The 13,460-nt window shown below is 52.4% G+C and overlaps 1 protein-coding gene across 22 annotated transcripts in view, besides 2 other annotated features; it reads left to right on the top strand.

Annotated features, from left to right (window-relative positions):
- AHDC1 (AT-hook DNA binding motif containing 1) overlaps positions 1-13,460 on the top strand; it is a 69,983-nt gene that overhangs the window by 16,987 nt on the left and 39,536 nt on the right. Inside the window, exon 1 of one of the 22 annotated variants that reach the window (XM_011541257.3) lies at positions 8,912-10,228. The exons of the other annotated variants lie outside the window; for them this stretch is intronic. The gene's annotated coding sequence lies outside the window, so the exon portion shown is untranslated. Of the gene's footprint in view, positions 1-8,911; positions 10,229-13,460 lie in introns of those variants that run through there. 22 annotated transcript variants of the gene reach the window in all.
- Positions 5,267-5,796: an enhancer, noted in NCBI's record as "H3K27ac-H3K4me1 hESC enhancer chr1:27907956-27908485 (GRCh37/hg19 assembly coordinates)". NCBI's record gives its function as "activates a minimal SCP1, AML or CMV promoter by ChIP-STARR-seq in primed H9 embryonic stem cells {active_cell/tissue: H9 hESC(primed)}" and the evidence as "EXISTENCE:reporter gene assay evidence [ECO:0000049][PMID:30033119]".
- Positions 11,189-11,328: a silencer, noted in NCBI's record as "silent region_522". NCBI's record gives its function as "represses an Ori minimal core promoter by ATAC-STARR-seq in GM12878 lymphoblastoid cells {active_cell/tissue: GM12878}" and the evidence as "EXISTENCE:reporter gene assay evidence [ECO:0000049][PMID:35858748]".

The raw sequence follows: 13,460 nt of genomic DNA, 5'->3' as shown, positions 1-13,460 counted from the left end.
TCCTACTAGGTCACTGGGTGACCACAAACAAAATGCCTTGTCTTCCCCGGCCTCAGTTTCCCCATCTGTGCAATGAGCCGATTAGTCTTGTGTAGGAGGGAATTCTGGCATCACGTCCTAGGGGTTGGTTGGTCTAGCCAACTGGGTCAGGCATTTTTCTGGCTTGGGATTCTGGGCCTCAGCAGTACTTTCTTCCAGAGCATCCTAAGCCAAAAGTGGAGGAAAGTGAGGGGTCCTCAGAGATGGATTTTGGGGCACTCCAAATGAGGGGCCAGGGCCTCAGCACAGAAGAGGGGGGTCTTGCCGAGACCTGACTCCAAGCCCCAGAGGGGACCCAGAAGAGAGGACCAGGGTGCCTCTTTTCTTCTGCTCTGACCTGTGTGGTGGTAGATGTGGCCCAGTGTCCAACCCCCCGACCTAGAGGGTGTCAGGACCCTTCCTGCCCACTGACTGGGGAGCAGGGCTTGGAGTGCCCTGGGGATAAGGAGCCAGGAGGCCAATCTGGGGTGGCAGAGCCAGGTGGGTGCCTATGGGTAGCTGGGCTCTGCCTTTGATATTTGGGGTTGCCGGGAGTTGTGGTGTAAGGCAGGTTTTGGTGACACACGCCTCCAGCCCAAGCTGCCCTGGATCCTGGCTTCAAGGGCCCCTTTAAGCATCTCACCTGTGAGGTAGGGCTAGGAGAGAATTAATTTCCTGTGCTATTTTAATTTTGCTGTATTTAATCTGCTGTTTATTTTAATTAATTAATGACGGGTAATCGCCTATCATAACCTACTGCCGCTGGCTCCTCTTCCTTTTCAAATGGGTGGAAGGCTGGGCCAGGTGATTGCCGGGTTAGCTGTGGGGGAGAGGGAGGTCCTTGGAGGCCTGTCCCTCTCCCCTTCTGCCTGTCTCATCCCAGGGGTCCTCTCCACCAGGGGTCCTCTCCTCCCATCTCACCTGTGGCTCCTCCTTTCCCTCCCTCTTCTCGCCCAGGTCTGCTTCAGGGCCTTGGAAGTAGTGACTGTGGCAATGAGGGGCCTGACCTGAGGCCCCTGCCTGTCTCTCAAGAAACAGTATTTTGATGTCATAGGATGGTAGTTGGAAGGATGGGGAGCTTGCCTTGGATGGCGCTTAGGCACCCTTGGGGAAACTTTTGAAGTTGGGGGTCAGTTTTTAACAGCAGCTCCTTTCCCCTCTCCCCCACCCCAGTGCCCAGACAGCATGCCCATCCACATTGTCGGGCCTGTGGGACACCAGCATGTCTTAGTATCTATGGACATATCCGGGGGTATGATTTCAGTTATTCATTAATCCCTAGGACAGACCTCCAGGGGGATTAACCCCTTGTATAGAGGAGATGGCTGAGGCTCAGAGAGGCTAAGTAACTTGCCCAGGGTCACATAGCAACTAAGCAGCAGGGCCTGAATTCTGGCCACAGTCTGATTGCATGGAAAGAGTTAACAGTTGGAGGAAGGGGAGGGGAAGTGGCTTGAGGACTAGGGTGGGGGGATTAGGTCAGAAGACTGATTAGGCCGGGAAATGGGGTCCTCTGCCTCTGGAGGATGTGGGGAGGAGGAGGGGGTCCCTGCCACAAGGGGCTTCTCGAAGGTGTGCAGTCTCTGCTACCTCTTCCCGTTTCCTTGTGTGTCTTCAGTTATCTGTTTGGAACAGGGGCTTTGTCACTAGCTCTGTACCCTACCACAGGAACCTTTCTAGAGCTAGGTGGAGCTCAACTTTTATTTATTTAACAAACATGTATATAGTGTTTACTATGTTCCAGATACTATTCCAACTTTATAAACAGATCTTCACTTAATTATTATTGCAGCCCTTTTATTAGTGTCTTTGTTTCATATATCAGAAAACTGAGGCATAAAAAGGTAAAGTGACTTGCCCAAGGTCACACAGTCAGTATGTGGTGGAGCCGCCCTTTGAACTTGGAAGGCTAGGATCCAGAGTCCTTGTTTGTTCATTTGTTCCTTCTTTTTTTTTTTTTTTTTTTTTTGAGACAGGGTCTTACTCCTGTTGCCCGGGTTGGAGTGCAGTGGAGCAGTCACGGCTCACTGCAGCCTCGACTTCCCAGGGTCAGGTGATTCTCTTCTCAAGTAGCTGGGACTACAGGTGTGCACCACCACACCTGCCTAATTTTTTGTGTTTTTAGTAGAGACGAGGTTTTGCCATGTCGCCCAGACCAAGTAGCTGGGATTACAGGCGCCTGCCACCACACCCGGCTAATTTTTGTATTTTTAGTAGAGACAGGGTTTTACCATGTTGGCCGGGCTGGTCTCGAACTCCTGACCTCAGGTGATCTGCCCACCTCGGCCTCCCAAAGTGCTGAGATTACAGGTGTGAGCCACCACGCCTGTCCTGTCCTGCCCCCTTGATGCCCTAAGTAGGAGATGGGAGCCCTGAATTCCTGGGGGATAAGGCATCTCTGGGGAGCCTCTAGTCTAGGCCGAAGGGGAGACCTAGCCCTGCCCTTCCCAACACTAAGTTTGATGGGGTGATAAGGCAGAGTGCTGTGGGGGAAACAGGCAGAGTGTCAGGCTGTGCCTCGCTAGGAGTGTGCAGATCAGTGGTTCAGAAGCCTCTATAGAGCACAGCTCACCCCGCTACAGTGCTGGCCACCAATGGGAGAGGTGGAAGGGTTGGCCTCAGAGAGCTTGCTGCCCAACTAACTGGAAAAACAAGGCTGATAGGTGTGGTCAATTCTCAACAGTGGGATAAAACAATAAGAGAAAAACATTGCAAAAAAATCATGTCATTTAAAGAATTTGGGCTTTGAATCCTGTGTGTCCTTAGTTACTTGACTCCTCTCTGAGCCTCAGTTTCCTCACCTGTTGAGGGGAAATAATAATGGCATTGATGCTATAGGGTTTTGTGAGGCTCAAATGAGATAAAACATGAAGGTTTAGCTTTGGAGCAGGGGCTCAGTGAGCATCCATCTAGATGCTAAGATCCAATACCTGGAGAAAGAAAGGGTCCCTCCCTGGGGTTGGCATCAGAGCAGATAAGGATGGGAATGGTGAGGATGGAATGGGCAGTGAGCGTCCCGACTTTGGAGTCAGACGGCTTGGGTTTAAATCCCAGCCCCTGGGAGCTGCTTTCCCTCTCTGGGCCTTGATTTCCTTGTCTGTAAAATGAGTATAATACTAGTTCTCCTCTCCTCCATAGGGTGTTGTGAGGATTAAATTAGCTAATTAATTTATTCAACAACTAATATGAAGCACCTGCTGGGTGCCAGACATGTTTCCAGTCACTGCAGATCATAAGGGGTCATGTTAGCAATCTTATTGTTACCACCATAATCTGGAAAGAGGGGACAACTGCTTGGGAAGGAGGCAGAGAGGAGGCTGAAGCCTTCAGAATGGAGATAAGTGAAATGATAAGATGCTATAGAAATAATAAAGAGCTGATACTTAGTGGTTACTATGTGCCAGGCACATTTGCTCATGAAGCAGGGGCTCATATTATCCTTATTTCACAGATAGGAATCGGGTTCAAAGAGGTACAGTGACATGCCCAAGGAAACACAGCTAATAGGGAGAGGGTGGAGCTGCAGTGTGAGAGACTCAAAAGCCACACTATTAGTCACAAAGCTTTAAACCTGATTAAGAGACGGGTTAGGGGTGAGGGCATTGATCCAGCAGAGGAAGGAGGGAGAGACCTGGCCAGGAGAGGGACAGGGGGAATAGAAAGGAAGGACAGAGGTGGGCAAGGCCTTCAACTTCAGGAAACAATTAGAGAATGAACCAAATCAACATACACTCCCCGAGTGGGTTTTCTCAGCAATAAACAACAAGACATGAGCTCAGGGAAGGGAACAAGTGAAGTCTGGAGGGAGGGCTTCCCAGAAGAGGTGAATCTTGAGAAATGGGTAGTTGAAAGAGATGGGGGAGCCAGAGCATGCCAGGCAGGGTGCCGGGCACCAGCAAAGGCCCTGAGGTGAGAATGAACGCGGCTTAGGGCTCAGAAGTGGGAGGAAATTGCTGAGTGAGATCAGGATGAGGATTGGGAGGGCTGGTGGCCTCAAGGACATAGGGAGGGTGACAGATTCGAGAGGCTTAGCTAATGTAGAAATAGAAATAAACGGCCAGGCATGGTGGCTCACGCCTGTAATCCCAGCACTTTGGGAGGTTGAGGTGGGCGGATTACCTGAGGTCAGGAGTTCGAAACCAGCCTGGCCAACATGGTGAAACCCCATGTGGTGGCAGGCACCTGTAATCCCAGCTACTCGTCAGTCACTTGAACCCAGGAGGCGGAGGTTGCAGTGAGCCGAGAGTGCGCTATTGCACTGCAGCCTGGGTGACAGAGGAAGACTCCGTCTCAAAAAAAAGAGAAATAGAAATAAACCCCCATCTGGACAGAAACTACAGTATAGTGATCAAGAAGGCAGGCTCTGCAGTCCAATCCTAGCTAAGTTGTGTCCCACCATGTGAACAGGGCAAGTCAACTGAACATCGCATCTCCAAAACACAGGGTCATCAAAGTACCTGACCCCTCCGATGAGATGCTCTGTGAGGAGTGCTTAGCACAGTGCCTGCCATGCAGTAAGCACTTGACTCATGCATTCATTCCTTAACCATCAAGTGCACACTTGATGTCAGGCACTTTTCTAGGACACACAGCAGTGAACAAAACAGACACAAATCCCTGCCCTCAAGGAGCTTACATTTAGAGGGTAAAACAGACAGTTAATGTAAAAACAAGTGAAATAAATGGTCGTTAGATGGTGATATGTACCAAGGAGGAAAATGAATCAGAGAAGGGGCATTGGGCATGCCCACATTACAGGGTTACTGCAGTTTTAAATCAATGTACAGATGGAGGCTGTTGTTACTCTTATTTGTATAGCAGGTTTTAGTAGAAAAAGCACCTTCCAGTTTACAAGGCAGTTATTCCTTGTGAGAATCAAGTGAGATACAGGTATTGCCATCCCAATTTTATAGATAAGGACAGTGTGGCTTGAAGACAACAATCTGACTGAGTCAAGAGTCATGACTTTGAGGACAGTGCTATACCTGCTAACTCCCTGTGGGATTCGCTGTTCTGTTCCTGAAAGTCTAGAGGATAGATGAAAAGAGATGATGGGAATTGGAGGGGTGTGGGCAGTGCCGAGGTGGGTCAATGTCCAGGGATGGAGCTGCGCTGGAGAGCAGGGGCAGAGGCCTGTTTCCTGGAGCCAAGCCTGGCCAGCTTCTGCTGGTCTGGCGGAATCAGGGTGAGTTCAGAGGTTGGCTGGACCCAGAGGCAATCCCAAGGGCATAGCAGGGGAGGCCTGAGACACTGTGTGATTGAGCAAAGGGGCAGAATCTGTCCAGAACGGAGTGAGTGTGTGGGTGGTGTTGAGACTCAGGGGAGGGGAAGAGAGGAGAGGAAGAAGTCAGCCCCGCTGACCAGATGAGAGAGAACAGCCAGGAGGTTGGTGGGGCCAAAGCTGGCTCTGAAGGCCCCTGAATGTCAGGCTAAAGACCTTGGCCTTGATGTTGTCGTCAGCAGTAGGGAGCTGTTAAAGGTTTCAGGGCAGACACGCAGAGTCATGAGAATGGGATTTGAGGAAGATGTAGCTAGCTCGAGGTGGAAGAGATTCAGAGGAGGTGACTGGAGGTGGGGGAGCCCACCAGGAAGCTGTCATGGCCAAGTAGGTGAGACATGATGAGGTCAGATCAGAGAGACCACTTGGACTGGAGGAAGGAGTAGGGCCTGGGAGAGGATACCCCTGGGTTCTGGCCTTGGATCTGCCCAGATTTTCTGAGGGTCCCTTCTTTATTACACACCTCTATTTTCCCATTTGGATTGAACTAAAGGCGTGCCTGCCTTTTTTTTTTTTTCTCTTGGTTACCATTTTGGCTAAGGACCCATTTTGAGAAGATGATGAGACCTAGGGGCTTTCTCTCCAGAAAAATTTTTTTTAAAAATATATTTTTTTAAAGTTTTGAGCCTGGGCAACATAAAAAATTAAGTAGCCAGGTGTGATGGCACATGCCTATGGTCCCAGCTACTTGGGAGGCTGAGGTGGGAGGATTGCTTGGGCCCAGGAGGTTGAAGCTGCAGTGAGCTATGATCACGCCACTACACTCCACCCTGGGATACAGAGCGAGACCCTGTCTCAAAAACAAAAACAGGCGGGACGTGGTGGCTTACACCTGTAATCCCAGCATTTTGGGAGGCTGAGGTGGACAGATCACCTGAGGTCAGGAGCTCGAGATCAGCCTGGCCAACATGGTGAAACCTCGTCTCTACTAAAAATACAAAAATTAGCTGGGCATGGTGGCATGCACCTGTAATCCTAGCTACTCGGGAGTCTGAGGCAGGAGAATCGCTTGAACCCGGGAGGCGGAGGTTGCAATGAGCTGAGATGGCACCACTGCACTCCAGCCTGGCGACAGAGCGAGACTCCATCTCAAAAAAAAAACCCAAGTTTTTGGTTGGTTAAAATGTTGTGAGGTTTATAAACCTGTGAAGTCCATCTATGGAACTAAGCTAGATGATCAATAGTAATAAAAATAGCAGCTAGCATTAAATGCTTATTATGTGCCAGGCACTGGGCAGAGCAATATACCTCATGATCTTGTTAAAGCTATACAACAACCTGTGAAATAGTTACCATTTTACAGACGAGAAAACTGAGGAGGCCTAGAGAGATGAAGTGGCTTGCCCAGTCAGGGTTGGAAGTTAAGCCTGGGCTTGTCAGATCCAGACCCTGAGATCTTAACCACAAAGGTTAGCCAAGGATTCTAGGATTCAGGAAGAAGAAATGGCAGGGAAGGGGACAGGTATGGGAGGGTTTTCAAAGAAAGCCGTGGAGATAGCAGAGCAGGAGAAAAGGGAAGAGGGGTAGTGGTGCCAGCTCAGCTCTGAGGAGAGACGACGCATCAGGTAGTTGGAGGTAAGGGGCTGGAGATGCGGATTTCATTTAGAGCCCCCTGGCCTGGCTTCCAGAGGGCTTGGTATCTGTCCCACATGACCCCCAGCTAAGTGACCTGCTCTGGAGCCTGCTGGGAAGGGGTGGAGGTGGGGCCACTCTATCTCTTGGCCTCATTATATTTTGCCCCCTTGTTCTGGAAGGGCTTACCCCTAACTCTTTGACTCAGCCTCCAGTGCTGTCTCTGGAATCTACCCTCCCTCCCACATCCCAAGGCCATCAAGAAGGGCCCATGGGCCTTGATCTCTCTAGGGGAGTTAAGAAGTAGAGACACCCTTTCCATCCCAGAGAGGAGTCCTGGGGCCCATCTGCCGAGATCAGAGTAGGATTTGGAACCCAAGCACCAGGGAACCAATGTTAGGCTCTGGTTTTAGATCCTGGCGGGCAGCACTGTCTAGAACCACAGCAGGAGGTGATCTAGATTAGACTAGGCCATGGTCTTGGGCTGGAATCTAAATTTATAGTGGGTTGGATTTGTTGCTCATCTAAAATGGTCATTCTGGAAAGTAAAAATTTTAGACTTTGTAAGCATTCAGTCTCTGTCATGAGTAGTACTTAACTCTGCCATTGCACCTTGAAAGCAGTCATAGACAGTGCATAAGCGAATGAGCATGGCTGTGTTCCAATCAAACTTGAATTATAAAAACAGACAACAGGCCATGGACCATAGTTTGCCAACCTCTGATCTAGAACCTTATTCCTCCTGAGGGGTGTGTAGATTTTAAACCTAATTAGACAGTGATCTAAGCAAACAATGTTGACATGTCAGGCTGGAACCTAGATCCATGGCAAGTTAACATGAAAGGTGATCTATAGTCACACTCTTGCTGGGATCTAGATATTGGGGATTGATGAACAAGAAATGCACTAAATAGTGTGTATAAAGCAGACTAAGCCATCATCTCTGGCTGAACCTAGATTCACGGAAAACTGGGGTGGGGTGGTGTGGGGTGGTGAGATTTAGACTAACACATAAGGCTGTGGTCTAGATATGAGAAAGTGAGTGAGCTAAAGTCACACAGATACGGATCCAGAGAAGGCAAAGCTTTAGTCCAAAGCCAGAACCCACAAGACCTAGAACACCAGCCTGGGCAACGTAGTGAGGCCCTGTCTCTACAAAAACGTTAAAAAGTTAGTTGGGCATGGTAGCATGTAGTCCCAGCTATGCAAGAGGCTGAGGTGGGAAGATTGAGCCCAGAAGATTGAGGCTGCAGTGAGCTGTGATTATACCGCTGCACTCTAGCCTGAGTGACAAAGCCAGACACTGTCTTAAAAAAAAAAAAAAAAAAGATTTAGAACAGGACTATCCAGTAGACACATAATAGAAGCCATATATGTGTCCGGGTGTGGTGGCTCACGCCTGTAATCCCAGCACTTTGGGAGGCCGAGGCAGGTGAATCACAAGGTCAGGAGTTCAAGACCAGCCTGGCCAACATAGTAAAACCCCGTCTCTACTAAAAATACAAAAAATTAGCTGGGCATGGTGGCAGGCACCTATAATCCCAGCTACTCGGGAGTCTGAGGCAGGAGAATCTCTTGAACCTGGGAGGTGGAGGTTGCAGTGAGCCGAGATAGCGCCATTTCACTCCAGCCTGTGCGACAGTGTAAGACTCCGTGTCAAAAAAAAAAAAGAGAAGCCACATATGTAATTTAAAATTTTCAAGTAGCCACATTAAACAAAGTAAAAAGACATAAAAGGAAGTAAGTGGAATTAATTTTAACAATTTATCTTTCTTTTTTTTTTTGAGAGGGAGTCTTGCTCTGTTGCCCTCACTGGAGTGCAGTGGCACAATCTCAGCTCACTGCAACCTCCACCTCCCGAGTTGAAGCGATTCTCCTGCCTCAGCCCCCCAAGTAGCTGGGATTACAGGTGCCCACCACCACACCCAGCTAATTTTTGTATTTTTTGTAGAGATGGGGTGTCACCGTGTTGGCCAGGCTGGTCTCGAACTCCTGACCTCAGGTGATCCACCCACCTCGGCCTCCCAAAGTGTGGGATTACAGGCATGAGCCACTGTGCCTGGCCCAACAATTTATCTTATATAACCCAATATATCCAAAGTACTAGCATTTTAATGTATAAGCCTTATAAAAATTATTAATGAGGTATTTTATATTTAAAAAATACATTAAGACTTCAGAATCTGGTGTATATTTTGTACTTACAGCACATTCCAGTTCTGACTAGCCACACTCACATGTGGCTAGTGGCTACCATGTTGGACAGCACAGATTTAGAAACAGGCTTTTCTTTGGGACCAGGGTCCAGAGGAGTTATGAGCCAGAATAATCTGGAACAAGTAGGGTTGTACTCGCCAGAGGTTACACCCTTAGCAGACTTGAACTGGGTGTAGTCTGACTGCCTGGGAGAACATCTGGGCTGTGGGCTGGGGAGTCAGGGGTTCCCTCCCCTGGAGTCTTAACTCCCTGGCCTCAGGTGGAATCTCTGTTGGGGCTCTGGCCTCTCAGGGTATTCAGTATCACCTCTGAGCACTGGCCCCCAGTTCCTGTCCCTTATCCCAGTGTCACCTCAGTCTTGTCTGGCCTGGCAGGTCAGGGGGAGGGGAGCAGGGTGGCAGCTGGACCCTTGAGAGAGCAGGAGCTCCACCCCTCCGAGCCAGCTGCTGCCAGCCTTCCTGGACTGACTCTGTGGAAACAGGGGGCCCAGAGACAGAAATAAACTGCCAGGTTTCCGGGGCGGAGTGGGGGGCCTGCCAGTCTTTGTGCTTCCTTGCTTGGGAGTGGGGGGAGCAGGAAGCAGCTCCAAGCCCTGTCCTAGGCTGTTCCCCCTGTATGCCATCTCCCCTCACCCCCAGATGCCCCTGCCCCCATGGCTCTGAGGCTAGGCTGAGTCTAGAATTTGATGGATTAGTGAAACCTAGGGGCCCATAGTCTGGGACTGACACTTGGGAGCAGAGAGTGGTCCTTAGGACTCTGGTCCCAGCTTGGTGCCCATTTCTAGAATCCTGTCCTGGGGGCCCCTCTAGCTGCCGCACGGCAGGAGCTGAACAGATTCAGAGGGCTGCAGTGGGGCAACCGACCAGGAGCTGAATGATTTGTATTGGATGCCCACGTCTGTCATTCACTGGCCAAAGGCAATTTTCTTTCCTCATTTATGATCCTATCCCCGGGTCTCAGGAGGGATGACTGTGTCCTCCCATCCCTTCCTCTTGGGCCTAAGCTTCCCCATCCGTTGTGGGATTTGGACTGTGAGCTACTGGAGAGGGAGTGAGGGACAGGGACAGAGTAGCCAGGAAGAATGTTGAGGGATGCTGTCTGAAGCTGCTGGCTTTGTGACAGGGGCGCTGTCACCAGTGCAAGGTAGGGTACTGGTCTCTGTGTTCATGTCATGACGGTGGGTGCTGGCGTTGGGGGGTGTGGGCAGGCGGTGAGCACTGGGATGCACTGTATATATGTGTGTGTGTGAGGTGCTAGACTCAGGATGGCCAGTGCCTAGACAGGGCCAGGGTCACGGGTCACCACATGCCCAAAAGCAGCCTCCACTGTTGTAAGGGTGACACTGGTGTGATCCCCCCATGTCCCTACGGGTAGATGGAGGTGGGAATGGCCCCAGTGGAGCTGTTGAGAACAGCCCCTCATGCCTGGAACTGGGACCAGAGCAGAAGGGGTCCCCAGGGACTGCCTGAAAGGGAGGAGGGAAGCAGCAATGCTTGTCCTGCCTGTGTCAGGGTGAACACTGTGTTCAGTGGTTAACGGGTTCTGGAACCAGAGTTTTTCTGACTTTAGGCTCTGACATTGTGTGACCTTTGGTGGGTCACTTAACCTTCGTGAACTTCAGCTTTCTCATTAACAAAAAGGGGATAATATTACCTACTTTATGGAGGCCTTATAATTGAGTTAGCGCATGCTAATAATGCAGGGCAGGTGCCCTGTGTTAGCAGTGACCATTGGGTAGTCGCTAGGCACAAATAGGTGGTCAGTGAAAACGCATTGTTCAGATGTCCGGACGCTTTCCCTGCAGAGGGCCTTTTCAGACCCCTTCGTTTTAATAAGGAAAACGGAGGCCCCCAATTGTGACAGCGTTTTGCCCAAGGAGAGGCACACAGCAAACAAAACCTTTATATGGCACCTACCCTATAAAGCCGGGTAGCTCAACCCCAATTTACAGGTAAGGAAATCGAGGCCTGTGATTGGCCGCCGGTTCACGGTGGCGCTATCCAGTTAGGCCTCAGTCCGCCGCTGCGGAGGGAGCGCCGGGCCGCCAGTGCTCTCTGCAGGAGGGGCGTGCAGGTAGCGGGCGCCCTGGAGCCACTGCCCGAGCCAGGCACGCTATTAATAACCCCGCCACTCAGCCGCGTCCGAGAGCGCAGGTCCGGACCGCTGCCGGGCGCCTCCAGTCCCCGGGCCGGGGCAGAGCCCGAGCCCGACCCGGATCGCGACGGCCCTCCCCTCCCCCCGCCACGTGACCCCGCCCCCCCTCCCATTCAGCGGGCAGCAGAGGGCCCGGCCTGGCGGGCCGGGGGCCAGGAAAAAGCCGAAAACACCGAGGCCGGGCCGCTCCCCTCCCGCTCAAAATAGCCCCCGGTCGGGGCTGCCACGCATTCCGCCGGGCCCGGGGCGCGGGAAGGGGCGGCCGGCTTGGCCCCCGCCCGGCCAGACGTGGCTACCCGGCCGGGTTGGACCGGGTGGGGGCCGAGGGCGGGCCGCGCGGCCGGCCGGCATGTGGCTCTCCTTCGGGGAGCCTTGGCAGCCCGGGCTGCGCGCTGCGCGGGGATGATGGAGAGCTTCTGGAATTTCCTGCAGCTGGAGAGCGCGGCCGGCCGGGGGAGCGAGCTAAGCGCGCAGCTCGGGCAGGGGCGCCTGGCGCCCGACCCTAGGGGGCGCCTCCGCGGCGAGGGTGGTGGGGGGAGACCTCGCCGCCCGGCCCCAGACTGCGGGAGTGGAGAGAGCACCCCTCGCCTCCTCGGCCTCTCTTTTCGGGTCTGGCGGGGGTCCAGTCCCGCCCCTCCCGGCTTGCGCGGCGGAGAAGGGCCAGGTGCAGGCAACGCCCCTCCCCCAGCCGCCTGGTTTCCCTCTCCGCCCGTCACCTCCTCCAGGAGCCAGAAACTCTGTGGCCTCATCTGGGAGGGGGGCGGAGGTGGCAGGGATCAGTGGGCAGCTTAGCCTGCCAGGTAGCCCCAGAGGCGGCGGCGGCGGCGGGAAAACTCGGAGGCGGGCTCTTCGGGCCCTGAGAAGTGCTGGGCCTGCGGACTGGAGCTTCTTGCTCCAGCCAGAGGAATCTGAGGGCTGCTAGGAGGGAGGCAAGGCAGTCTTCTCCCAGCATGCAGCACCCCCGCCCCGCCTCCCAACTGCGGAGCCGATGTGGGGGCAGATGTGCTGGGAAAATCCTGGATAATTTTCCCGACGGCGACAGTAGCTTTCTTTGAGAGCATTTCTGCACCTTGCAGGCCCCAGAGTCCAGAGAAGGGCCCCGGGATGGGAGGGGCTTCATTTTACAAGAGCCCTGAGAATCCAGGAGTAGGTATGTGACCTCTCAGGGCTCACTCTTGGCACTATGGCTTGGGGAAGGAAAGAGGTCTACCCTGCCCTTTGTTGGGCAGGGGAAGGGACGCTTTCCCACAACTTTGTTCCCTTCCAGCACCATTTGGTGCTCTGTAAACTGATGAACCTTTTGGCAACTCAGCAGGCATCTTCCCCATCTGATGGTGGACCCTTCTCCCCCTGCCAGTGGCCCTTGTTCAGTTCTGTTTCCTGCCCCCACCTAGCATACTCTCACCATGGTAAACAAAAGCAGTCGGGATAGGCACGCTTCACCTATGCCACAGTTGCCACTCGCTGGCTGTGTGACCTTGAACAAGTCCTTTTACTCCTGAGTTTCCCTTTCCTCACGTGAAAAACTAGATAACACTAGATAGGCCATGGCCTTGTGGTGGGGCTCAAAGTTACACAACATTTCAATCAGTTAGCATAGCATCTGCACATAGTAAGGGTGGGAAATGAAGGGCACCCGTGTGACATCCAGCCCCATCCTGAGGAATAGAGGTAGCCCCCAAAACATTTGAATTCCCTTCCCCTGCACCAAGCCTGTGAGATTTCACTTCCCAAGGTCTCTGTCACACTAGTCTCCTCACAGTGCTCCTTTTGCCTTCCACTGGGGGTGGGGCGGGGGCTGGCAGAGAGCTCCAGGCTGGCTCCCCAGGGGATGGTCCAGGCAGGCTGTGAGGCTGGTGGAATTCTGCTTTCCTCTTCCTCTCATCTCCTTGCTGACCTTTCACTCCATCACTGCCAGATACCCAGATTCAAATTCAGATGCCTCGGGGTTCCTCCTTAGCCCAGGATGTTGGGCCTGGGCCTGTGTCAACTCCCAACCTCTCCTATCCCCAGTTCTCCCTGTTTCCTGTTTGATTGGCCTTCCATGTCCACTGGGAAAGACCCTGGTGTACTGGAAGGAGCTCAAGGCCCCATTTGTTGTCTGTGTGAACTTGAGCAAATTACCCTACCTCTTGTGAGCCTCAGTTTGCTTTTCTGCAAAATGGAGTTGAAATAAAAACTACCTGGCAGAACACCTCTTTACTCATGCATCGCAGAGGCT

The sequence above is a fragment of the Homo sapiens genome, chromosome 1, assembly GCF_000001405.40.
Source record: "Homo sapiens chromosome 1, GRCh38.p14 Primary Assembly".
NCBI classification, from domain to species: Eukaryota; Metazoa; Chordata; class Mammalia; order Primates; family Hominidae; genus Homo; species Homo sapiens.
This window is presented reverse-complemented; position numbering and strand designations above follow the sequence as displayed.